This window comes from Homo sapiens, chromosome 15 (genome assembly GCF_000001405.40).
Source record: "Homo sapiens chromosome 15, GRCh38.p14 Primary Assembly".
NCBI lineage: Eukaryota > Metazoa > Chordata > Mammalia > Primates > Hominidae > Homo > Homo sapiens.
This window is the reverse complement of record NC_000015.10, coordinates 60,439,523-60,464,890: the sequence shown is the minus strand read 5'-3', so window position 1 is coordinate 60,464,890 and position 25,368 is coordinate 60,439,523. Positions and strand designations below refer to the sequence as shown.

The 25,368-nt window shown below is 35.8% G+C and overlaps 1 protein-coding gene across 13 annotated transcripts in view; it reads left to right on the top strand.

Annotated features, from left to right (window-relative positions):
• The window catches only part of ICE2 (interactor of little elongation complex ELL subunit 2), a 59,534-nt gene that overhangs the window by 14,252 nt on the left and 19,914 nt on the right, over positions 1–25,368 (top strand). For 8 of the 13 annotated variants that reach the window (XM_011522009.3, NM_001018089.3, NM_024611.6 and 5 more), the window contains 7 exons: positions 8,097–8,234; positions 9,449–9,565; positions 9,729–9,888; positions 11,107–11,288; positions 15,050–16,043; positions 16,746–16,921; positions 22,346–22,475. In XM_011522009.3, coding sequence (XP_011520311.1) covers positions 8,097–8,234; positions 9,449–9,565; positions 9,729–9,888; positions 11,107–11,288; positions 15,050–16,043; positions 16,746–16,921; positions 22,346–22,475 — 1,897 coding nt within the window. Of the gene's footprint in view, positions 1–8,096; positions 8,235–9,448; positions 9,566–9,728; positions 9,889–11,106; positions 13,797–15,049; positions 16,044–16,745; positions 16,922–19,099; positions 19,199–22,345; positions 22,476–24,180; positions 24,261–25,368 lie in introns of those variants that run through there. The other 5 variants (NR_147171.2, XM_047433031.1, XM_047433032.1 and 2 more) reach the window with 3 other exon arrangements.

Here is a 25,368-nt window from a genome sequence, read left to right as displayed (position 1 = left end):
ACAAGGACATGGGCATATGCCACTGCAGCTAACTTTTTTTAGATACAGGGCCTCCTGTGTTCACCAGGCTGGTCTCAAACTCCTGACCTCAAAAATCCTTCTGCGTCAGCCTCTCAGAGTGCTGGGATTACAGCCCATCTTTCTTAGGAAGAGTCTTTACAAAGTTCTACAGTGGCCTGCATGATCTCTCCCCTCCCTCCCATCCCCCATCCTCACTTTCTACAAATTGCCCTATCAGTTATTCTTCCCCCACCTGCGGACTGGCCTTTACATTTCTTCAATACTGCAAGCATAGTCCTGCCTTAAGTCCTTTGGCATTTGGGGTTTCTATTTTTCTCAATCTATTCCCCGGATTTCTGCGTGTAGTAGTGTCTTGATTCTTTTAGGTCTCTGTCTGTTCAGATGTCACCTATCAATGAGGGTGTCCCTGATTACCCTATGGAATGTAGTATGACCCTCACTTTTCCCTTTACCACATTTTATTTTTGCTTATTGTCCTTCCCCTCACTGTTTTTGTAAAACAGTGCCTTTTTGTAAGTGCTGTTTTATTCACTCGTGGTCTTCCAATGACTAGAACAGTGTATGGCACGCTTAAGTGCTCAGGTGCTCAATGTAGATATTTCTTAGGTGAATATAAAACTGTACTTTATTAACAAAGTACATTACTTGGTAGCTAATGATAAATGATAAACATCATCATGTTTTTTTCCATATTGATGTGGCAGCACATTTTCTCCAAGTTGTATTTTACATCCCCATCCCAAAGATTCACTGATATTTTTCTGAGATCTTTTAGTTTTAAAATTTTATGTTGTACAATGTCACGTACATATGGAAAAGTATATAGAACGAAAGAAAAAATAGATGCAGCTTAACAGATAATTATATAGTAAACATCTACGTAACTCTTGTCCAGGTCAAGAAATAAAATAATGCCAGTAATTCAGAAGCCCCCTGTGTAGTCCTCTTGTATAATAAATAACATTCTCCTTACTTGAGTGAATAATCAGTGTCCCAGCTTTGGTGGTGATAAGTTCTGTGCTTTTTGTGTGTGTATGGAGGGTGGTAGTTCTACTTCTCTTTTGCCTGATTTTGTTGGGATTTTTTTTTCTTTTTTTAAGAGACGGAGCTTCGCTCTTGTCGCCCAGGCTAGAGTGCAATGGCACGATCTCAGCCCACTGCAACCTCTGCCTCCAGGGTTCAAGCTGTTCTGCTTCCGCCTTCCAAGTAGCTGGGATTACAGGCTCCTGCCACCACGCCCAGCTAATTTTTGTGTTTTTAGTAGAAATGGGGTTTCACCGTATTGGCCAGGCTGGTCTCGAACTCCTGACCTCAGGCGATTTACCTGCCTCGGCCTCCCAAAGTGCTGGTTTATAGGCGTGAGCCACCGTGCTTGGCCCTTTTTGCCTGATTTTGAATTTTATGGGAACAGAATCCTTTTGGGCCTTCCTTCTTTCATTCAGTATTGTGCTTTTTGATTCTTAGGTTGTATGAGTTGTAGTTCATTCATTTTCATTTCTGTCCATTTTTCCATTATATTAATAAATTACAATTTATCCTGTTGATCGGAACTTGGGTTGTTTCCATTTGGGAGCTTATTCTAAGCAGTACTCTTAAGAAAATTCTCATACATTTCTTTTGGTACACATACGCACACGTTTCTGTTCGATATACAGATGCTTCTTGACTCACGATAGAGTTACATCTCAGTAAACCTGTAATGAATTAAAGATGCATACACCTCATCTACCAAATATCATAGTGTATTTTATCCTACTCTACATATGCTCACAATACTTATATTTACTTACAATTAGGCATAATCATCTAACACAAAGCCTATTTTATAATAAATTATTGAGTGTCTTGTAATTTATTGAATGCTGTACGTTGTGACAAAATTGCAATGGTTTGGCACCATCATAAATTTGGAAAATCATTTAGTGGAACCTTCATAAGTTGGGAACTGTTTGTATACCTATAAGTGGAATTATTCGGTCATAGAGTATGCGTATCTTCAACTTGAGTAGATTTGCAAATGGTTTTCCAAAGTGGCTATACCAGGTTATATCAATTTACATTCTAACCAGCAGTGTTTAAGAGTTCTGTTGCTCCACATCTCAGACATATATATATATGTATATAGAGGGAGAGAGAGAGGGAGAGCGAGAGCCAGAGAGAGCGCATGTTTTCATATGTTCCTGCTCACTTTTTCTTGCAGAATGACTGTTCATTTTTTCTAATTGATATGTAAGATTTCTTTGTATATTCCAAATACAAAAACTTTATGGGCTATGTATGTTGCAGTTTTTCTCCTTTTTCTGTTTTGAATTTTATCTTTTTCTATTGACAAGTTAAAATTGTATATATTTATTTTGTACTGTATGTTTTTTAAATATGTATACATTGTGGAAAGGCCAAACCGGACTAATTAACATATGCATTACCTCACAAACCTGTTTTTTTGTTGTGAGAACACTTAAAATCTACTCTCTTAGCAGTTTTCAAGAACACAATACATTGTAATTAACTATCATCACCATGTTTTATAATTGATCTCTTGAATTTTTCCTCCTGACTGAAATTTTATGTCAACTAACATTTTCCCCACCACCCCAGCTGTTAATGCTCACTGCCTAGATGTATTCATTCACTGTGGTTTGCACAGTTGTAATATTCTGATTGCATCATTTATTCATTGGAATACTTTTTAAAAGATATGCTTTCCCTTACTTACTATTTGGTTTCCCAGTTCATGTAGCTTACCATGTAGCAGAATAAATACTAGATTCTTTCCTTTTAAATACCACTTTTAAAAAAATTAGTTCCTTCTTATTCTCCAATGTTGGTGTCTTTTCTTTTTTTAAAATGTTATTATTAAATCATGGAGTTAAATATATATGTGTTTCTGTCCACTACGATTATTATCCTTTGTAAGCCTCAAATAGTATTAACTCACTGAGAGGCTCTTCCTACTGGCTTTTCAGTCAGTCTGGTAGTCTTTGAGGCTCATTTTGTACACTTCCTGCCCTGGCCCTGGAATCAGCCATTTTCAAGAGCCCTTGTTTCTTTTAGTGTGAAATGATATTTCAAGACTACAATCTGGGCACTATGGATGCTCCTGGGTTGATCATTGTTTTGAGAATAATTCAGTGGATAGAACTAGGAAATAGATTTAAAGGAAAAATACCTCATATGTCTCATTTGCTTTATCCCACATTACACTCACAACAGCCTCAAAATAACAATATTAATACTAGTGATCAATACGATTACTGAAAACAGTTGAAATTATTTTTCTTATGCTCTTCTCATTCTCCCCCACATTTTTTAAAAGATTGCACTGTGTTTTTATTGTTAGAGCATCATATAGTAGCCATTAAATACTAAAGCCTCCCTTTTAAATCCACATTTAATTTTTAAAACAATTTTATTAAGGTATAATTTACATATAAAAATTACTCATTTTAAGTGCATTTCTTTTGTGAAATGTCTATTGAAGTATTTTGCTGATTTTTTAATTTGCTTTTATTTTTATTAAGCCGTAAAGTTTCTTTATATAGTCTGAATACAACTCCATTATATACAAACTGGTTTTCTTCCAGTTTGTGATGTATTTTTAAATTTTTTAAATAGTGTTTCAAAGAACAGAATTTTAATGGTCTAATTTATCAAAAATTTTTGTGGTTAGTGATTTCATGTGTTCTAGCATAGAAATATTTGCCTATCCCAAGTGATTCTCAGACTGGAGTCAGTTTTAATCCTTCCTGACTCGCCCCCCCACCCCACCCATCCCTAGGACTTTGACGGTGAGACATTTTTGGTTGTTACAACTGGTGGAATGCTACTAGTATCTACTGCGTAGAGGCCAAGGATGCTGCTAAACATACTAAATGCATGTGAGTGATGTCCCCCGCAACAAGGAGTTATCCAACTGGAAGTGTCAGGGGTGCTTGCATTGAGAAACCCTAATCTAAAGGGCTTACAGTTTTAACTTATACATGAAAATAAGTCTATGTTGATTTCAAGTTAATTTTTGTGTAAGATACAAGGTAAGGATCAAAGTTCATTTTTTCCCGTATGAATATCTATGAATATCTAGTTGTTCTAGCATAGTCATTTTCAACTGAGAGTGACTTTGCCTCCTAATGGACATTTGGCAATGTCTAGAGCTTGGTAGGGGTGCTGATGGCGTCTAGTGGGTAGAGCCAGAGGTGCTACTAAATATCCTACAGTGTACTGGACAGCCTAACACTACAAAGAATTATGTGGTCCAAAACGTCAGTAATGCCAACGTTGAGAAACTCTGCTTTAGCACAGAGTTTGGTTGAGAAGGGTATTTTTTCCCTTACTGAGTTACCTCGTCACCATCATGTGGATCAATTTTTTTTTGGAGACGGAGTCTCCCTCTCTCGCACAGGCTGCAGTACAGTGGCGTGATCTCTGCTCACTGCATCCTCTCCCTCGCGGGTTCCAGCAACTCTCCTGCCTCGGCCTACCGAGTAGCTGAGATTACAGGCACCTGCTACCACACCCAGCTAATTTTTTTGTATTTTTAGTGGAGATGGATTTCACCATGTTGGCCAGGCTGGCCTCGAACTCCTGACCTCAGGTGATCCACCTGCCTCCTTGGCCTCTCAAAGTGTTGGGATTACAGGTGTGAGCCACCGCACCCAGCCTGGATCAATTTTTTGACTCTGTTTTGTTCCATTAATCTGTATGTCTGTCTTGATGCCAAAACCATATGGTCTTGATAACTGTAGTTTTGTAGTCCTGAGATCATGGGTTCTTTACATTCTTATGTAAATTTTGGAATCAGCTTGTCCATTTCTACAAAAATCTAGGTGGGATTAAAACTGTTCAGCTAGATTGCTTTCCTTTCTTTTAAAAATAAAATCTGATAATCTCTTTTAATTAGAAAGTTTAGTGATTTACATCCATTATGATGACGGTATATATTGATTTGTTTTTGCTTCTTTTACTTTTTCTGTGTTTTTTTTTAAACTCCTTTTGAGGGGATTGACATTTTTCCTAGTGTCCCCCTCTCTGTTGGTTTGGAATTTACATGTCGACTTTCTGTTCTCTTAGTGGTTACTCTTGAATTTTTATAGTCAATACTTCCGTTATTCAATATCAACTAGCCTCCCAAACAATATAGAAATCATAGAGCATTTTGACTCTCATTACATCCCTCTTGACTTGTATGCTATTTTTGTTGTAATGCTGTTTCTTTTTTAAACTTACCCACATTATTGTTTTATATGGACTATATTTGTTTTAATTTATCTACAGGTTTGCTAGATTTTGGCCCACCGTTTCTTCTCAAACCTACATTCTGAGATTCTTTCATTCTTCCTGAAAACCTATGTATTCTAGATGTGCCTTTGATGAGGGTCTCTTAATGGTGAACAGTCTCCATTTTTGTTTATTTGGAAATCTTTTATCTCTCTTGTTCTCATTTTAGTAAGATCATTGTATTTCATACGCAATTCAAAGTTGGCAGTTACCTTTTTTCCACGACATTTAAAGATAATCCTACTTCTTCATGTTATTGTTGAAAAATGTGTTGTCTAATTGTCATTTCTTTTAGGGCTTCTGTCTTTTCTTACTGTACTTTAATTTTGGTGTTTTAGAGTTTCATAAAAATATGCTTTTTAATAAAATCCTGCTGGCTGATTGTGTTTATTGTGTCTATGGATTTATAGCCTCCATTAGTTCTGGAGAATTCTCAACCATTTTCAGTGATTGCTTCTCCTTCATTTTGGTAAAGTATACATAACAAAATTTACCGTTTTCACCATTTAAGTGTACAGTTCAATAACGTTAAATACATTTACATTGTTATGCAGGTATCACCACCATCCATCTCCAGAACTTTTCGTCTTCCCAAACTGAAACTGAGTACCCATTAAACAGTAGCTCCCTGTTTCCTCTTCCCCTCAGTTCCTGGCAACCACATTCTGTTTCTGTCTGTATAAGTTTCATTATTCTAGGTTCCCCATATAAGAGGAAACATACAGTATCTGTCTTTTTGTGACTGGCTTATTTCACTTAGCATAATGTCCTCAAGATTTGTCCAAGTAGTAGCATGTGTCAGAATTTCTTTCCTTTTTAAGGCTGATTAATATCCCGTTGTGTGTGTGTGTGTTTGTGTGTGCGCGTGTGTATTACATTTAGTTTATCTGTTCATCCATTGATAAACACTGGAGTTGCTTCCACCTTTTGGCTGTTATGAATAATGCTGTTATGAACATAAATGTACATATATCTGTTCAAATCCCTGCTTAAATGTAGAAGTCTTACGTTTCGCTTCCCACCTGATCTTAGAACTGGTTGAAGAATTAGCCCTTAAGCCACCTCACCTTTCATAGGTTTTCTTACTGCTCACTGCTCTAGTTTCTCCTCTATGTGTTGATTTATGGTTTTTGCATATTTTCCTCACTTTTCACCAAGCCCAGAAATATTTTTCCTTTCCAGCCCAAAATAAAATTTAGGGGGCATTTTTTATAATGATAGATCTGTATTGTATAAATGCATTTGCTTTTGGTGTATTTAATTCTCAAGATATTTTGAGTATTAAATACTAATAGCACTCAGTGGGTGAGTGATGGGGAACAGCCTGAATCTTTTAACTTCCTGTGTTCAGTTAGTTATTTTTCAAAGAAAGATAAATTATTAATATAAAACATTTTTTTGCTACATAAGCTAAATAATGATCGTTTAGTTGATCGAATACCTACCAGTTGTAAAATACTTCGATAATTGTATAATGTATCAGAGTATAGGTGTAAAACTGTCTTAGATTTTCCTTTGACTCTCTTGCTGTAGTTACTGAATTAAGTAAATTCAGTTAAAAACACTAACATCCACCACAGTTTTACCAGGAATGATGTGCCAATGAATATGTAACAAGAATGGTCTCTATTTCACATAGTTCTTATTTATCACCTTCCTTTGCATATTCAAATTCTTGTAATAACTACCATAGGAAGGGAATGTTGCAAGTGAAAGTTAACTAATAGTACAAATAAGGAGCAAAGATATTTTGCAGATACGAGTTTGCAGTTGACTCAGATTTTTTAAAACTTTTCCATATTAGTCCACATCTGTGTTAGTTACAAATGATACCATGAATTAAATAGATCTTCCATGAAAAGCATAGATGAAGAGAGAAAATGTGAAAGATAGCAGGCAGTAGAGATTAGAAAAGGGCGGAAGGGGTTCTGAAACTATAGATGAAAAGATATACTGGAGTAAAGTTACTGATTTGTAACGTGACACATTTTACAAATATGTGAAGGGAGAGGGGATGTAGATATATAGGATAAAGATAATACATAAAGAAGATGTCAAGAGCTTTTGTGACCTAAAATATTTTCTAAGACATTTCAGATAAGGTTCGTTGACAGAAGAAGAAAAAATATGTATCTTAGAAGATAATGTGTGTGTGTGTTTTAATCAAACAACTCTTCCCCACCCCCAACAGCTGTGCATCTCTGAATTGTTTCTATATTATCAGAAGTGGCACATATTATTCTCACAGAAAGCTGTGAATTTTATTAACTTACAGATTATGTTTCCTGATAAGTCATTAATATTTTGAAAACAGTTTGGAGGAAAGAAAATACTAAGTACTCCATCATTTGGATTAGTTATAACATTTCTCATTGATTTTTTTTAGATTATAGATTAGAGTGACCTGTAAGATAACTACTTCATTAATTCATTGTGCTTGGGAATGTTCTTAGAGTATACTACTTAATTTCTAATTATTCATATAACTGCTTTGATTGCAGAAAAGTGTGTTGAAATTTTCATGTGCCTTTAACAGTTTCTTAAATGACATGGAAAATATGTGTCTTCTCTAATTTTAAATTTTAATGAGACTGCTAATTTTAGTATTAAACATCAATATTGTAAGTAACTGGGTTAAAAATATGAAAATAAAGAATATACAATGTGTGTATTAGTAGCTTGATTAATGAAATCGGGCTAATTTTTGCAATGAATAATTACATAGTCACATGTAACTAAAAATTTTCTTTTTGCATTATTAGAGAAATACAAATGAATTTTTCTTAATTTCTGTTTCTCAGAAAATTTTAAGAGCTTGCATTGAACAAGTGAAAAAGTATTCAGAATTCTATACTCTCCACGAGGTCACCAGCTTAATGGGATTCTTCCCATTCAGAGTAGAGATGGGATTAAAGTTAGAAAAAACTCTTCTCGCATTGGTAAGGTTTATTATCAGACGATATAAGCTTTTTTTTGTCTGAAATAGTGTGTGTGTGTGTGTGTGTGTGTGTATATATATATATATATATTTATTTATTTATTTATTTTTTTTTTTGGAGACAGAGTCTCTCTCTCGTCGCCTGGCGTGTAATGGCATGATCTCGGCTCACTGCAGCCTTCACCTCCCAGGTTCAGGTGATTCTCCTGCCTTAGCCTCCCAAGTAGCTGGAATTACAGGCGCCTGCCACCAAGCCTGGCTGATTTTTGTATATTTAGTAGAAGTGGGGATTTCACCATGTTGGCCAGGCTGGTCTCGAACTCCTGACCTCAGGTGATCCACCTGCCTTAGCCTCCCAAAGTGCTGGGATTACAGGAGTGAGCCACTGCACCTGGCTCATGTATATTTTATATAGACATTAAATTTTAAGCAATAATTAGATAACTTTTAAAATATGTAATACCAATCTGTTTCCCTTTCTTTTTATTCTGTGGATAGAAATACTTGATGTTTTTAAAAATGTCACTACTTTGTTCCTTGATTTTCTTTTCTTACCACCCATCTGAATGCCCCTGAATACAAGCAGAAAGCCCCTTTTTTTAATGGGATTTTATTGACAAACATATTGGAAATAAGTGTGTGGAGAGGATATTTTGGAGTTTCTACCATCCCCGTTATGATTTGTATCTCCTGAAAGGAGAGGATAGACTTTAAAGTGGCAGGAAAAATTCTATGAAACTGGCCTGGTATGATGGCTCACACCTATAATCCCAGCACTTTGGGAGGCCGAGGCAGGCGGATCACTTGAGGTCAGGAGTTTGAGACCAGCCTGGCCAATATGACGAAACCCCGTTCCTACTAAAAATACAAAAATTAGCTGGGCATGCTGGCACACACCTGTTATCCCAGCTATTCGTGAGGCTGAAGTGAGAGAATTGCTCGAACCCAGGAGGCAGAGGTTGCAGTGATCTGAGATCATACAACCGCACTTCAGCCTGGGCAACAGAGTGAGACTTAGTCTCAAAAAAAAAAAACCCACAGGTAGTGGTTGTTAAGCAAAAACATGAATATCTTGGCATAAAGTTTCTAAATCTGATGTTTACATTTAGTAGAATTATAAAGTTCAAGTTAAGAGTTTCATATGATGAAAGATACTTTTCTTAGAAAAAATACATTGCGATTTTTGCAATAAAATGATTTTTTTTTCATATTTAGGGCAGTGTAAAATATGTGAAAACAGTATTTCCCTCAATGCCTATAAAGTTGCAGCTGTCAAAGGACGATATAGCTACCATTGAAACGTCAGAACAAACAGCTGAAGCTATGCATTATGTAAGTACCAAGGCAACATTGGATCTTCCTAAATAATCTTTTATATCTCACAAAATATATCTAACCCGATTGTCCCAAAGTCCCCTTTCTGACTTTTTTTGTTCTTTATTGAAGAAATTTTCAATAAGTATAACCAAGTAACAAATTACTTGTTGTTTTTCAGGATATTAGTAAAGATCCAAATGCAGAGAAGCTTGTTTCCAGATATCACCCTCAGATAGCTCTAACTAGTCAGTCATTATTTACCTTATTAAATAATCATGGACCAACGTACAAGGAACAGTGGGAAATTCCAGTGTGTATTCAAGTAATACCTGTTGCAGGTTTGTAATTTGCTATGTCAAATAATGCTCTCAAAAAAGAGAAGTTGGACTGCATGTTCTCACTCATAAATAGGAGTTGAACAATGAGAACACATGGACCCAGAGAGTGAAACAACACACACCGGGGCCTGTCAGGGGGTGGGGGGCAAGGTGAGAGAGAGCATTAGGACAAATACCTAATTCGTGCAGGGCTTAAAACCTAGATGACAGGTTGATACGTGCAGCAAACCACCATGGCACATGTATAGCTATGTAACAAACCTGCCCATTCTCCACATGTATCCCCGAACTTAAAGTAAAATTTAAAAAAAAGAAAAAAGAGGTTGGAACCATTTCATTTCAGCTGTCTAAATATAGGTGGTCAGTTGTCAGATATCAAAGTACTGATTTAAGGAGGATGTAAGTTTGACACATTCAGTGAAACTTTTTTATGTGTAAAGCTACTTTAGGCTCAGCACTACTAAATGAATTAATTAGGTCTATAGCACCTGTAGTCATGTTTAAGGGTGAGAGTTAGAGACAAAATGATGGCATAGGGTGGCCAAGAAATACATGAAATGGTCAGGTTGTTCTGTCTTTCACTGAAATGAAAGGAACGTAGTACTTTAGTAGACAACCTCAAATGGGTGAGTTTTTATGACTTATTTACTTGTTCGTTACTGGAATTTGGAATAACAGTAAGTCTATACATATAAGCAATAGGGTAGTCTTTCTTTTGACAATAAAATTAATATTTGCATATTCCTGTATATAAGAAATTATGTCCATACTGTTTTGATATTTAATTTTTTAAACATCTTTCAGAGTTAATATATGTCACAGCATAAATACAATAAATGAAAGACTATGTCTATTGAAACAAAACTACAAATTAGAGTTAAATGTAATATATTCTATGTGGTAAATATTTCATCACTTTTTGCAAGTTCCTATAAGAAACTGAGTAATAATGACAGTAAGAATATAATAGTAAAAACCAGAAAATCCTTTTTAAACATTGCTAGAAAGACATTTTTCTCCTGCCAGTTGGATTTTCTTGCCCTTAGATTTCTAAAGGACTTTAATATCTGCTAGTCTAAGGGTAGCAAATATATGGGACATGTGCTGCCATTCTCCTGTGTCTCTTTGTTTGGTGATCCTCATGTCATACATCCTGTTTTTAAAAAATATATCACAATTAGATACTAATCACCTCTTTTCTTTGGTTTCTGTTTTAAGGTTCAAAACCAGTTAAAGTAATATATATTAATTCACCACTTCCCCAAAAGAAAATGACTATGAGAGAGAGAAATCAAATCTTTCATGAAGTTCCATTAAAATTTATGATGTCCAAAAACACATCTGTTCCAGTCTCTGCAGTCTTTATGGACAAACCTGAAGAGTTTATATCTGAAATGGACGTATGTAATGCTTTTTTTTTCCCCTAAGGGGAATGTACTTGTTTATCCTTTTGAAGCATAAAGTTTTATTGCAAATCCCTAAACCTAGTAGTTAAAAATACAGGCTTTAGATTCAAACTGAAATTGAATTTCGAGTCTAGCTGGACTTTAGGCAACTAACTTAACCTCCCTCAGCCTAAGTTTTCTCCTTTCATACATGAAAGGAAGTAGTACCTACTTGACAAGGTTATTATGAGGGTTAAGTTTGATATTTTATGTTAAAGGCTGAGCACGTTTTTAGTTATGTATGTAGTGAAAACTCCTTGATGGTGGTGGTTAATATGAGGTTTTGTTTAATTGGTCTCATTCATATTCAAGAGTTTTATTTTTTTGAGATGGAACCTCACCCTGCCACCCAGGCTGGAGTGCAGTGGTGCGATCTCTGCTCACTGCAACCTCCGCCTCCCGGGTTCAAGTGATGCTCCTGCCTCAGACTCCCGAGTAGCTGAGATTACAGGTGTGCACCACCATACCCAGCTAATTTTTTGTAGTTTTAGTAGAGATGAGATTTCGCCATGTTGGCCTGGCTGGTCTCAAACTTCTGACTTCAGGTGATCCACCCATCTCAGCCACCCAAAGTGCTGGGATTACAGGCGTCAGCCACTGCACCTGACCCATATCTAAGAGTTTTTAAGTGTGAAAAGGAACAGGTGAGCTTAATTTGATTGTTACAGAAAGTATTTTGCCAGATTGTTAATCTTCAGTATACTTAGTAGCTATGTGACCTCGGGCAGATTACATAATATCTCTGTGTCTAGTTTGCTTATCTGTAAAATGGGCATCATGATATTACCTAACTCATAGGATTGTTTAGGTTTAAATGAATTTGTACATATAAAGCATTTAGAGTAACACTTGGCACTCTGTAAATATTAGCTTTTATTATTCTGTATTTTAAAATATTTTTTCCATTATTTTTAAATACATTGTTTATAGAGAACTTGATTCATTCATTCCATAAGTTTTTATTAAGCAGATACTATTCTATGCAGGGAGGAAGCAGCAGTGAATAAAAACAAAACCTGTTTTCCCTCAGACCTTAAATAAGTGGCAGAGGGCCCAGATAACAGTAAAAAAGCAGGTAGTGGTAAATGCTATGGAGAAAAATAGAGTACGTTAAGGGGAAATAGAGAGATGGGTGGGGAAGGGGTCATTTTATATTCACGATTAAGAAGGTTTTTCTGAGGATAGGAAATGTGGACAGAGACTTGAGTAAAATGAGGGAGCAAACAAAATTTTAAAATATAAAAATGTTTTTCTTGTACTTAAGAGCTCATACAATTTTAAGGATATTGGCCTTTTGGTTTTTATATTTGTTTATGTTTTTCTCTTTGCCATTTGCCTTTTAATATTTTTATGATACATATGTCATAAAGCATTTTTAACTTATGTTTTCTTCTTACACATTTTACTTTTAAAAATCTGCCTAAAACTTATATTGAGGTGAATGTCAGGCAGTAACAAGAAGAAACATGAGGTAGGTTAAAAGGGATGAAAATTGACAGTGGCTTCTTTCAGTAATGGTAGACCAGGTAATTTGGACCCTCCTTTTATTGATGACATCTAAAAAAGCTGGACAAATATTAAAATGTCTTTCTTAGAAGTATCAAAAAGCTAACAAGATAGTGAGGAATTGTAGGGCTGAGATACTGAAGAAAACAGGATTCCCAGAAGGTAAGCCTATTATACTTAGGGTCATTTTTTCCTTGGATTATATGTGCCAGTTCTGAAGAGGCAACTAAGAAAATGAACTGTGCTTTTGGCAGCATCATAGGACTAGGGGGATAAAAGGAAAACTTCAGTTTTCCACCAAGGGCCTGGACCCCAAAGGGGCTGCACCTCAGGAGTCAGGGTGAACCAGAAGTAAATGAGCTTTCTCTGAAATGACAGCCTGAGTTTTCAGGCCCTGAACTTGGAGTAAAATGCTTTTTCTGGATTGTGCAGGTAAAAGTAAGTAAAAATGAGAGGATGATAATGCTTTTTTTGCCTCAAATTATTATACTTCTTAATGTCTATTAGTCTAATTTATGTTGCTAAGTGTTCTGGAATTATTTTGATTTCTGTGGTCCAACAATTTGGAATGTTTTTAAATTTTGAAGTGCTTGAGTTTATTGTTTGTTTACATTTTTCTTAATGATATCTAATTTTATTTCCTTCTGAACATAGAATAAGACTTTATCAGATTCTGCTTTGGTCTATATTGAGATTTTCTTTGTATATTAATTTATAGTTCATTTTTTGAAATGCCCTTTGGATTCTTGGGAAGGGAAAAAGTGTATCTTTGTAGTCTGTTTATATATGTATTTTCAATCTTTCATATATATTCTCATCGTTTATTATTATTCATACTTTCTGGATTCCTTTTTATTTTTTACTTAGAGACAGTATCTCATTGACTTAGTATAATTGTGTCTCTGTCAAATTTTTCTTTTATTTTTCAGTTTGTACAATAAAAATTTATGACCACTATCTGTTTATCATGGATTTTCTTTTTTCAAACTAGCATTTCTCCCTTTTCTATATAACGCTTCTTGCTTTGAATTCTGCTTTGTCTAACACTTTCATTGCTATTCTTCCTCTTTTTATCTCTTGATGGCATCTGTAGTTGTTTTGTTTTTAACCTTTTTGTGTAGGAATGCCTCACATAAGCAGCATATAGTTTAATTATACTTTTTTACTAAATTTGGTAGTCTTTTAGTAGGAATTACCATTCACTAGCTACCATTTACTGAGAGGCTACTTACTATGTGACAGCCACTATGCCAAGAGATTTTCTATATATAATTTCTCACTTAATCTTTAGAACAAATCCAAGAAGATGCCCCTGCTGTACCTGTTTTAGAGATGAGGCCGTTGAGGTTCAGAGAGGTTGAGTAACTTACACGAGTTGATCTTTCTTACTCACTGCTGGTGACTGTTAGAACCTTTCTCTTAAATCCTCAACTGTAAGGCTAGTGGATGTACATAACCAGTTATGAAATTTCTATGGTATTTAAAGTGCTCTGTCAGATTGAAGAGAGGTCTTCTGGTGCTTGTCTCCTTGTAGAGGGGACAGTGTAGTCCTGAATAAGTTAAAAGCCGTGTGTAGTTTTTCCATTACCAAAACAGTACATGAAAAACAATATTTATGACTTCATGTCTCAGAATACAATAAACCACCTTCTGTCAATTTCTGCCCCATCTTTTATTGCTAAGAGTTGTTTTCCCTGAGTAGTTGTGGAAAGAAAGTCACTGGTTGATATTAAGGGTGCACCAGAAGCTGGCGACACTTCTCTGGACGCATTAAAAAGCAGCGTCCTCACAGTGGCAGAGGGACTTTCCTCCTGGTCAGCTAAGACCAAGTGTCTCTGCAGGAGCCTATAGAGTAGACATAAATGAAAATCTGCCTCCCGTTTGGCCCTACATTTCTTCTTTGTGGTCTTGTCTATTTTTTGATTCGTTGAAATTCCTCTTGAGATGTGGTAGTTTGTAAATATTCCATTTCTTGTGCTATTATAACTTGGCAAATTTGCCTGTTATCATGAACATATCAGTGGGAAGATGAGGTTAATAATAGCTGGTAGTAGTTTGTTGTCATCTTAAACAAGAACCTTTTACAACCATTAGACTTTTCTTTCTACTTTAAAAGAGCAGGAAGTATGTATGACAGGGATAGGGACATTAAGAGATAGGTAGGGTGGCTTGAAATTTTTACTAATACTTTACCAATTTATTTACATAAGATGTCCTGTGAAGTCAACGAGTGCCGAAAAATTGAGAGTCTTGAAAACTTGTATTTGGATTTTGATGATGATGTCACAGAACTTGAAACTTTTGGAGTAACCACCACCAAAGTATCAAAATCACCAAGTCCAGCAAGTACTTCCACAGTACCTAACATGACAGATGCTCCTACAGCCCCCAAAGCAGGAACTACAACTGTGGCACCAAGTGCACCAGACATTTCTGCTAATTCTAGAAGTTTATCTCAGATTCTGATGGAACAATTGCAAAAGGAGAAACAGCTGGTCACTGGTATGGATGGTGGCCCTGAGGAATGCAAAAATAAAGATGATCAGGGATTTGAATCATGTGAAAAGGTATCAAATTCTGACAAGCCTTTGATACAAGATAGTGACTTGAAAACATCTGATGCCTTACAGTTAGAAAATTCTCAGGAAATTGAAACTTCTAATAAAAATGATATGACTATAGATATATTACATGCTGATGGTGAAAGACCTAATGTTCTAGAAAACCTAGACAACTCAAAGGAAAAGACTGTTGGATCAGAAGCAGCAAAAACTGAAGATACAGTTCTCTGCAGCAGTGATACAGATGAGGAGTGTTTAATCATTGATACAGAATGTAAAAATAATAGTGATGGAAAGACAGCTGTTGTGGGTTCTAACTTAAGTTCCAGACCAGCTAGTCCAAATTCTTCCTCAGGACAGGCTTCTGTAGGAAACCAGACTAATACTGCTTGTAGTCCTGAAGAGTCATGTGTTTTAAAAAAACCTATCAAACGAGTATATAAAAAATTTGATCCAGTTGGAGAGATTTTAAAAATGCAGGATGAGCTCTTAAAGCCAATTTCCAGAAAAGTACCAGAATTGCCCTTAATGAATTTAGAAAATTCTAAACAGCCTTCTGTTTCTGAGCAATTGTCTGGTCCTTCAGACTCCTCTAGTTGGCCGAAATCTGGATGGCCTTCTGCATTTCAGAAGCCAAAAGGACGTAAGTAAATATTTACAAAGAGCTTACAGTGTTTTACTTGTTCTTTTTCCTTAGGTTTTTCTCCCTCGTTCCTTTACTTTGTCATAACCTGTTTTGTAATTGTCATATAGTCACTGATATTTCATTTTTTCGATCTATTGATCAGTATTTCAGCTTCCAAAATAATCCTCTCTAGATATGTATACAAAGGCGTATGGGTCTTGCAGCTTGTGTTTATCTAACATGTACAGTGACTGCTAAGCTATAGGTAATGTGATTTGTCAAATTGGTGAAGGGTAAGTGCATCCAGAATAATCATAAACATTGATTGATTTAAAATTTATTTATACTTGGTGTTGGACTGCAGTTTTATACTTTTTGGTTTTGTGAAATAAATCTGCTCCTCAGCTCTGCCTAGATTAGGAATAACATTACTTTTTAAACTTTTTATTTTTCTCACATGGTATGCTGTCTCACGAATTTATACTTTGCCTAGAGTTAGTGAAAGTTAAAAGGAGAAGAACCTTAAAGCTAGGATTTCAGCTCTTACTGCAGTTCCAGTAAAAGTAAACAGAAATGGTAATAGTGTGAGGGTCCCTTAGGCAGAGAAGTAGAAAATTAAAGATGATAGAAGTTTTAAAATAGTTAATTGAATTGTTGTATCCTTGCTTATGATGGGTAAGAGCTAATGTATTTTAAAAATGAGAAATACTATTTTTAAAGGATTGCCATATGAACTTCAGGACTATGTTGAAGATACATCGGAATACCTAGCTCCTCAGGAAGGAAATTTTGTTTATAAGTTATTTAGCCTGCAAGACCTGTTGTTACTCGTACGCTGCAGTGTCCAGAGGATAGAGACAAGACCACGTTCTAAAAAACGGAAGAAAATCAGAAGAGTAAGTTGTTATTTGCGGAGTTAGAATATGATCACATAAATAATCAATAGATACTTAACATGCCATTACTGTGAAGTTTAAATTGTTGAGCACTCATAGTAGTATCTTCAGGTTGAGTTTTGTTTTTTGTTTTTTGTTTTTACTAAAATGCTGAGATCGATTTTAATAAGGGAAAGTGTTTGTATATAGTAGCCATAAATGCCGGTAACATTCATGCTTGGAATATACAGATTGAGCAGCCCTAATCCAAAATTCAAAATGCTCCAAAGTTTGAAAACTTTTAAGCTCCGGCATGGTATCACAAGTGGAAAATTCCACACATGACCTCGTATGATGGGTCACAGGCCAAACTCCAGTCAAAACTTTGTTTCATGTGTAAAAGTATATAAAATATTGTATAAAATTACTCTCAGGCTCTATGTATATGGTGGATATGAAACATAAAAGGGTTTTGTGTTTAGACTTGAGTCCTGTCCCCAAGATATCTCATTATGTATATGTAAATATTCGAAAATCCAGAAAAAAATCCAAAATCTGAAACACTTCTGGTCCCAAGCATTTCAGATAAGGGATACTCCACCTTTATAAACTTTTTAAAAAATGGCATCATCATAGATTACATCTAGATTGGCATATATATACCTGTTTTCTCTGGGAATTTGGATTTCCATTATTACATGTGAACTCGAGTTCTTTTCACTTTGGGGCTCTTGTTGACTTACTTTAGAAGTCCAAGTAGAACTTTTGAAAGATGGCCTTTCACACATATGTAAGGTCTTTTCAGGACTGTTAGAAGACCAAATCTCTTCCTTTCTTTTTTCCCCTGTTGTTTCTTTTGGGTTTGATATAAATATTTTCCTCAGGAAAAAAAATGTATTGCTGCAATTTGAGTAATTACTTCTTTTAAAAATTTTTCATATTTGAAATTCTCTTTCAGATTAGTTTGCATTTTTTTGTGTGTATGACTACTGAGTTCTGGTAAATAAAGGGAATCTTCTATATTATAATTGAGTATGTAATATTAAAGTGTGTTTCCTTTAATTTTTCTTGAGGACTTTTTCTGTTGTATGTATTTGTCACAGTACACATTTAAAAAAACAAGTTTTGGTGTCTCTGTCTCTTGTTATCTAACCCACTGCCCAATAAGAATCATCACTGACCACTTTGAATGTCTGTGTTTTGAGGTAGGGATCAGGTGAATCCAGACTAGTGATGTTCTACTATTGATCATTGTGGAGGACTTCCTGACTACTGTATCATATTAAAGAATAACTGGGCCAGGTGTGATGCCTCACACCTGTAATCCCAGCACTTTGGGAGGCCGAGGTGGGCAGATCACGAGGTCAGGAGATTGAGACCATCCTGGCTAACATAGTGAAACCCCCTCTCTACTAAGAATACAAAAAATTAGCCGGGTATGGTGGCAGGCGCCTGTAGTCCCAGCTACGTGGGAGGCTGAGGCTGGAGAATGGCGTGAACCTGGGAGGCGGAGCTTGCAGTGAGCCGAGATCGCACCACTGCACTCCAGCCTGGGCAACAGAGTGAGACTCTATCTCAAAAAAAATTTTTAAAAAGTGCCAACTTTTCCACATTGCTAATAACAGCGGCATGAGGGTTTGACTACTATGATAAACTAAGGCCAACCCATCCAGATCCAGGATGTACACTTTGTCCACCCAAATCCAGTGGACTTGGTGGAACTTGTGCTTGATAATGTTTTTATCTTTTGTTAAATAGAACGAAGATTATAAAGTCCTAAATTCTTAAACTTCTAATTCACATAATTTAGTTTTTATCATTGATTCAAACTTGAAATTTTAGAAACCAAATGGCTTTAATTGAAAACTGTTTGGTTTTAGTGCTCTTTACAAGAGAAACTCAAGGAATGACAAAATTCTGTAGGTTTGATAGTCTCCTCCTAGATAAATGCTATAACATCCTGTGAATTAAAAGATTTGACTTTATTTGCTAATTTTTCCTGCCTCATCTGTGTTAACTAATAAACTTAATAACCATAAGCTTGAACATCATGAATACATATAGTATCAGTCCTATAGATTGTATTTTCAAGGTTTTATTTCTTTGATTCTTGCTATCTCTCTGATTTATTTTGAGGCTAACCTCATTTCTTTAACTTCCTACTCTGTGAACCCATACCACTTTGTATTTCTTTTTCAGCTTACAGCACTTAGAAATTGTTGATGGCCGGTATCTCTTAAGTAAGAATAGCCTAGGGAAATTTTGGATACCAGTTTAATTCTTGAACAAGACAGCTTGGTAAGGACATTGTAATTCACTTGACTAAGGTGAAATTTGTAAATTTCAAGACATAACCTTATAGAAGAAAATTCATTCTTCATCAAAATATGTCAAAATAGTCACACCCTAAAGACTGTCTAAATAGAAGGCTTATATTTCTGATTGTGTCAAACTCAGAATAAAATTTTAAAATTTTCAGTGAATGCTTACATTGCCCCCGTTATTATATGTAGTAGTTTATGGTTTAAATCTCTTAGTAAAATGTATGCCCCTTGGAATTATGTCCTATTCATCTCTGTTTGTCCAAAATATTTTATCCTCTGGAAATTCAGTAAATCGGCACCGAGTAAATGAGGAAAATGGTGAGGGGGTGATATTGTTGACTAAGGGAACTTTAGGGAGGTTGAGGCACCAATTTGAAAATGTTGTAAGTGGTACTATTTAAACTAATTCAGCAAAATTACATCCCCCATTAGTATTTCCTACCTAAAAACCAACTTGCTTAGATAGAGCTTTGAAATACTTAGAAGTGTCTTCAACCTCTGCTGTCCAAGAACCTCATCTCTTCTTTATTTTTCCTCAGTTCTTCAATTATTTTAGTTGTCATTTTAGTTTCCAGTATCATTTATGTTTCCTTACCAAAACTCTGCTTAATAAGAGTTGCACTTTAAAGGAGAACCTAAAACATCAGCCAGTCTCAAGTGATGGGATAAAATAAAGAGGCTAGGCCAGGCACGGTGGCTCACGCCTGTAATCCCAACTCTTTTGGAGGCCAAGGCAGGTAGATCAGCTGAGCTCAGGAGTTCGAGACCAGCCTGGCCCACGTGGTGAAACCCCATCTCTACTAAAAAAATACAAAACTTAGCTAGGCGTGGTGGTGCACATATAAACCTGGCTGCTCGGGAGGCTGAGGCAGGAGAATCGCTTGAACCCAGGAGGTGGAAGTTGCAGTGAGCTGAGATTGCGTCATTGTACTCCAGCCTAGACAACAAGAGTGAAATTCCATCTCAAAAAAAAATAATAATAAAGAGGCTAATTTGGACCACAAGATATAAAACAGAATTTACTGAGTTCAATACATGATTATGAAATCCATACCCAGGAACTTTGGATGATTTCATAATATCTATTACTGTCTGTCTCAATGAACCAAGTATCCTAAGTGCTTTATGTGAAAAATTGGAACAGAACCAAGAAAAGCTTTTACTTGGGGAGCCATTTATCAAGGGAAAAAAATAGTAAACTTTATAGTATGAAAATTTTGATTATCCTTAAATTTTTACTTCAATTTTGGGATACTAAGGAAAGATGAAATGTTCAGGCCTTTTTTTTCCCCTGGCTTCCTGGAGATGGCAGTAGAATACATACAGAAATTAAACTGGTTTTAGGACTTGGTTTTATAGATAGAGTAGTTTTATCAAAGAAAATCTCCCAAAGTATTTGCTTTTTAGAAATAATACATATTTAAAATTTTTTTTAAATATATGGAATTAACTCTTACCCATTTCTAATCCAGAAATGTGATCCTTTTTCTCAGTCAACTTTTTTCAGTTCTGCTGTAAACTAGCTATGTGTCCTTGAGCAAATTTCATTCATTCTTTTTTTAAAAGAGACAAGAGTCTTGCTGTGTTGCCCAGGCAGGAGTGCAGTAGCACGATCATAGCTTACTGCTTCCTTGAACTTCTGGGCTCAAGTGATCCTCCCACCTCAGCCTCCTGAGTAACTAGAACTGTAAGCATGTGCCCCATGCCCAGCTAATTTTTTTTTTTTTTAATTTTTTGTAGAGGCAGGGTCTTGCTGTTTCATCCAGGCTAATCCTGAACTCCTGGCCTTAAGTAATCTTCCCACCTCAGCCTCCCAAAATGCTGGGATTATAGGCATGAGCCACTGCACCCAGCCTGAGCAAATTTCTTTATCTCGACCTCCTATTTGCTCTGAAGTTATGAGAGACTAAATCATATGCAGATAACCATTTGCAAAATTACATAGTAAAATGCTTTATTGGTAAAATCCTAATCACATTTAATTTTGTTTTTAATTGAGAAGACACACTGGAGGCCTTACCTACTGAAAGTATGGTCCCTGGAACAATAGCTTGTTATTAATGTAAAATCTTGGGCTCCACCCCAGATTCTACATTTTAACAAGATCACCAGATTTCTCACATGCACGTAGTTCAAGGGCAAATCACATGAAACAGCACTTACTGTTGATAAGAAAAATATTAGTGGATTTGAATTGTTCTTACCACCACCATTGTACCAAGCCCACTCTTTGCCACTTTGTAAAAATCAAGAATTAAGAAATACTGATGAAATATTTTCAAATCTGTAAATGGTGACACAGTATAATGTCAGAAGTACTAATTAGCCTTATAAGTTCAAGTTAAGTACCTTAAATCATGTGTTTCTCTTTCTGCAACTGGAAATAGACTCCTGTTAAGAGTAGAGTTTTCTTTGAAGATAATGAGATAGCATAAGCACAGTGAACAACATGTATTTCTTTGCTTACGCTCCCTTAGGCCAGTAATAGGTACAGTCATTTTACTTATGTAGTGTCCTGACCAGTGAATTTGGATGGATAATTTGTCAGATACTTCGTGTCTGAAATAAAGCCGTTAAATTGAAGATAATGACAAACAGGTGTTAATGTAGGCATTAGTGCTCTTTCATTTGTAGAATGAAACGAGCTGCTCAGAGTATTTGAGCCTAAGACAATGTGACTCATGCTTTAAAGGAGAAAAAAATTCTACCTTTTTTATCCTCTTGAAAATGACTAGTATATAAAAAAGTCAGTGCTTCCCAGCATCTGGCTTTGAGCCTTTGGGCAACTATGTATGATAGGCTTTGTTGCAAGGAGTCTGCTGTCAGTCACATTCCCTGACCAAAATCAAACCTTGCCTATGTGGGGAGGTATGTTGATTTTGGTCACAAATGGGAATGGTGAGGAGAGATCTCTTTCATCCATCCACCTTTTGGCACCAAACATTCTTCTATTCATCAGGCCTGAATGTATCCATCTTACAGTGTGAATCCTGCTGTAATTGAAAGGATGAAATAAGATTACCTGAAAGCATTTTGAAAGTGGCAAAGCTGTATAGGCAAATGTATTTGCTATTAATAGTAAATTAATAGAGCTTTGAAAAAGTATAATTTTGCATTGCAGCAATTTCCAGTTTATGTACTACCAAAAGTAGAGTATCAAGCTTGTTATGGAGTTGAAGCTCTGACTGAAAGTGAACTTTGTCGCTTATGGACTGAAAGTTTATTGCATTCCAACAGCTCATTTTATGTTGGTAAGTTATACAAAAGTCTTTATTCTCCTTTTTAATTTTCTTGTAATTACATACTTGTAAATTCAATTGTGAATACTTCTATTCTGCCCTTTTTTACTTTCGTTTTTATTTATGTATTTATTAGTTTTAGGGTCTCATTCTGTTGCCCAGGCTGGAGTATAGTCATGTGATCATAGCTCACTGTAACCTCAAACTCCTGGCCTCAAGTGATCCTCCCACTGCAGCCTTCCAAGTAGCTGGGGCTGCAGGCATGTGCTACCATGCCCAGCTAATTTTTTGTTTTTTCTTGAGATGGGGTCTCATTATATTGCCAGACTGGTCTTGAACTTCTAGCCTCAAGCAATCCTCCTACCTTAGCCTCCAAAAGCTCTGGTATTACAGGGATGACCTACCATGCTGACCTATTTTAGAAACACTTATTTAATAGTATAATCAAAAATACACATTTGTTTTCTAGCTTCTTAGAGTACTGTTTAATTGGTTAACTATTTATTGACCTATATATTTATTTTGAAATTTTCTTATAATGACACTACTTTTAAAACCTCAAATATTTTGATGAAATGACTTTTTCCTTTGTTTTTGTTGTTCTGCTGGGGTATGGGGATTAGGCTGAAGTTCAATTTGCATTGGCTCATTTCATGTACAGTTAACATCCTCACATAATAGATTACTTGCTAGTCATTATTGGTAGTATTTCCTCCCACTGGAATGTCCAATATCGAACATCTCAATGCATCCCATAAATCTCAATCCTTTCTAATCATCTCAGACTGCTCCTCTGTGTAGTCTTTTGCTTTCTTTGATCTCTTAGTGCAGTCTTTTACTTCTCTGACTTGTTACTTTGTACTTTATTCTCTCTTAACACCTATCCCTTCTTCCTGTTAGACAATAAACAGCTTAAGGTCAGAGTCTGATAAAATTCTGTGTTGAGTCTAATAAAATTTTGTGTTATACTGCATAGCTTGATTGCTTGTATGTAATAAATCCTATGAGGGTGTGTTTCTTAATCAAAGAAAGGTTATTCACTTAAAATGTTTTTTCCTGTTTTGGTTAATCAGTATTTTGTTTTCATGTTTTATGAGAGTATTAAGTAGATAATTGATTCTTTCTGCTTAACTCAAAAAAGGAAGTAGCTAAATGCACTAATTGGTGATGTACTGCCTGCCTCCTCCTCCTTCATACACATACTCGAAGTTTTTGTAGTAATTTTCATTCTGTAACCAAAATTTCAATGTTCCTCCAAAGACCTCACACCAACAATCTCAACATTAGCTACTTGAATGCAATTTGCCAGCCACATCCATTTTAGAAAAGGCCCAGTTAAAAACTTACGAGTGAAATTTTGTTTAAAGTACTGACAGAGAATGGAGATTCATGACAAAAAAAAAAATTAAGGTTTCAGTTTTTAAATGTACAGTTCAACATCAACTGTATGGATTACTTCATTTTAATTATTTTGTAAAATCCTAAGTAATCCTAACTGCTGATTATTCTCTGTGAATCCTATCCTCTTGTGAGCCTTTCATTTCATTGTACTGGGATAGTATTTTTGGCTTCTGTGACAAGTGTTTGGTGAAAAGCATATATTGTATGGTTGTGGGATTTTGGTTTGTTCGGGGTTTTTTGGTGGGGTGTAGGTATGGGGGGATAACATCTGAGTTTTTGAGTTTTTAAAAATGTTATAATACTCTTTTAATTTAAGGAAGATGTTCAAGAAAATCACTTGAAGTGCTTTTAAAAGTGGAGATTGCTGGCCCCACCCTGGAGTGTCTGATTCACTAGGTCTGTATTGGGACCTAAGACTTTCTCAGGTCGTACTGATGCTGCTAGTTTAGGGACCACACTTTGAGAATCAATTCTATAGCTTATAGTCTCTTTTTTCAGTAGAATCAACACACTTGTGATTTGTTTGTTTGCTCTGCTTTGCTATAAACATGTTCCCCACTTTCCCTAGTTGCAGTACTCTTTTTATCTTTTCCCCATAAAAACTTGAAGATTTACTCCTTTAAGACAGTTTCCCACATAGTCTCATTGCAACTTCCGTATTCACCCTCCAACCCTATAATATTTATCAATTCTATATAGTTGATATATAGGCAGTCCTCACTTAGCACACAGTTTCAATAAGCACAAGTTTTAGTTATGACCGTGTATTAACAGTGAGTAATTGTATAAAGTATAAGCTTCACTGCTGGCTCTTCAGTCCACAGATCACTACATAAGTAACAGGCAAATCATGATCAGTGACCAGTCATGTCACTTCTTTCAAAGTCTGTTTATAATTGTTTATTGTGTACCCATTGAGTTCATGCACAGAAAGCAGAGTGTGCAGTTGTGTTGACTCTTTGTCTCCCGGTGATAAACCCATGTGATATTTTACCAAAGTAGATAATCAAAAGAATTGACCAAAAAATATTAAAGCAAAGCAAAGAAACAAAAGGTGATACTGCCAGAAGTGAAATTTGAATGGAACATAAATGGAATTACAGAGGAAATAGCAAAGAGTGGGAATGTTGGCACTGCTGTTGTTCCAGTGACTCTAGATTTGCTGCCAGACAAACTTAGTGAAAGCATTGTGACATAAAGGATGAACAAGTGACACTGGCATAAGATTTTACAGTAAACAAATCCTGAAGATAATTTCATGACATTGAAGGCACCAAGGATACAGTGTCAGAAGCTGATCCTTAGGAATATAACGGTTCACCATGGCATAGAAAAGATGTATCCGGCCAGGTACGGTGCCTCAAGCTTCTAATCCCAGCACTTTGGGAGGCCGAGGTGGGTGGATCATTTGAGGTCAGGAGTTCAAGACCAGCCTGGCCAACATGGTGAAACCCTGTCTCTACTTAAAATGTAAAAAATTAGCTGGGCAGTAGTCGCATGCGCC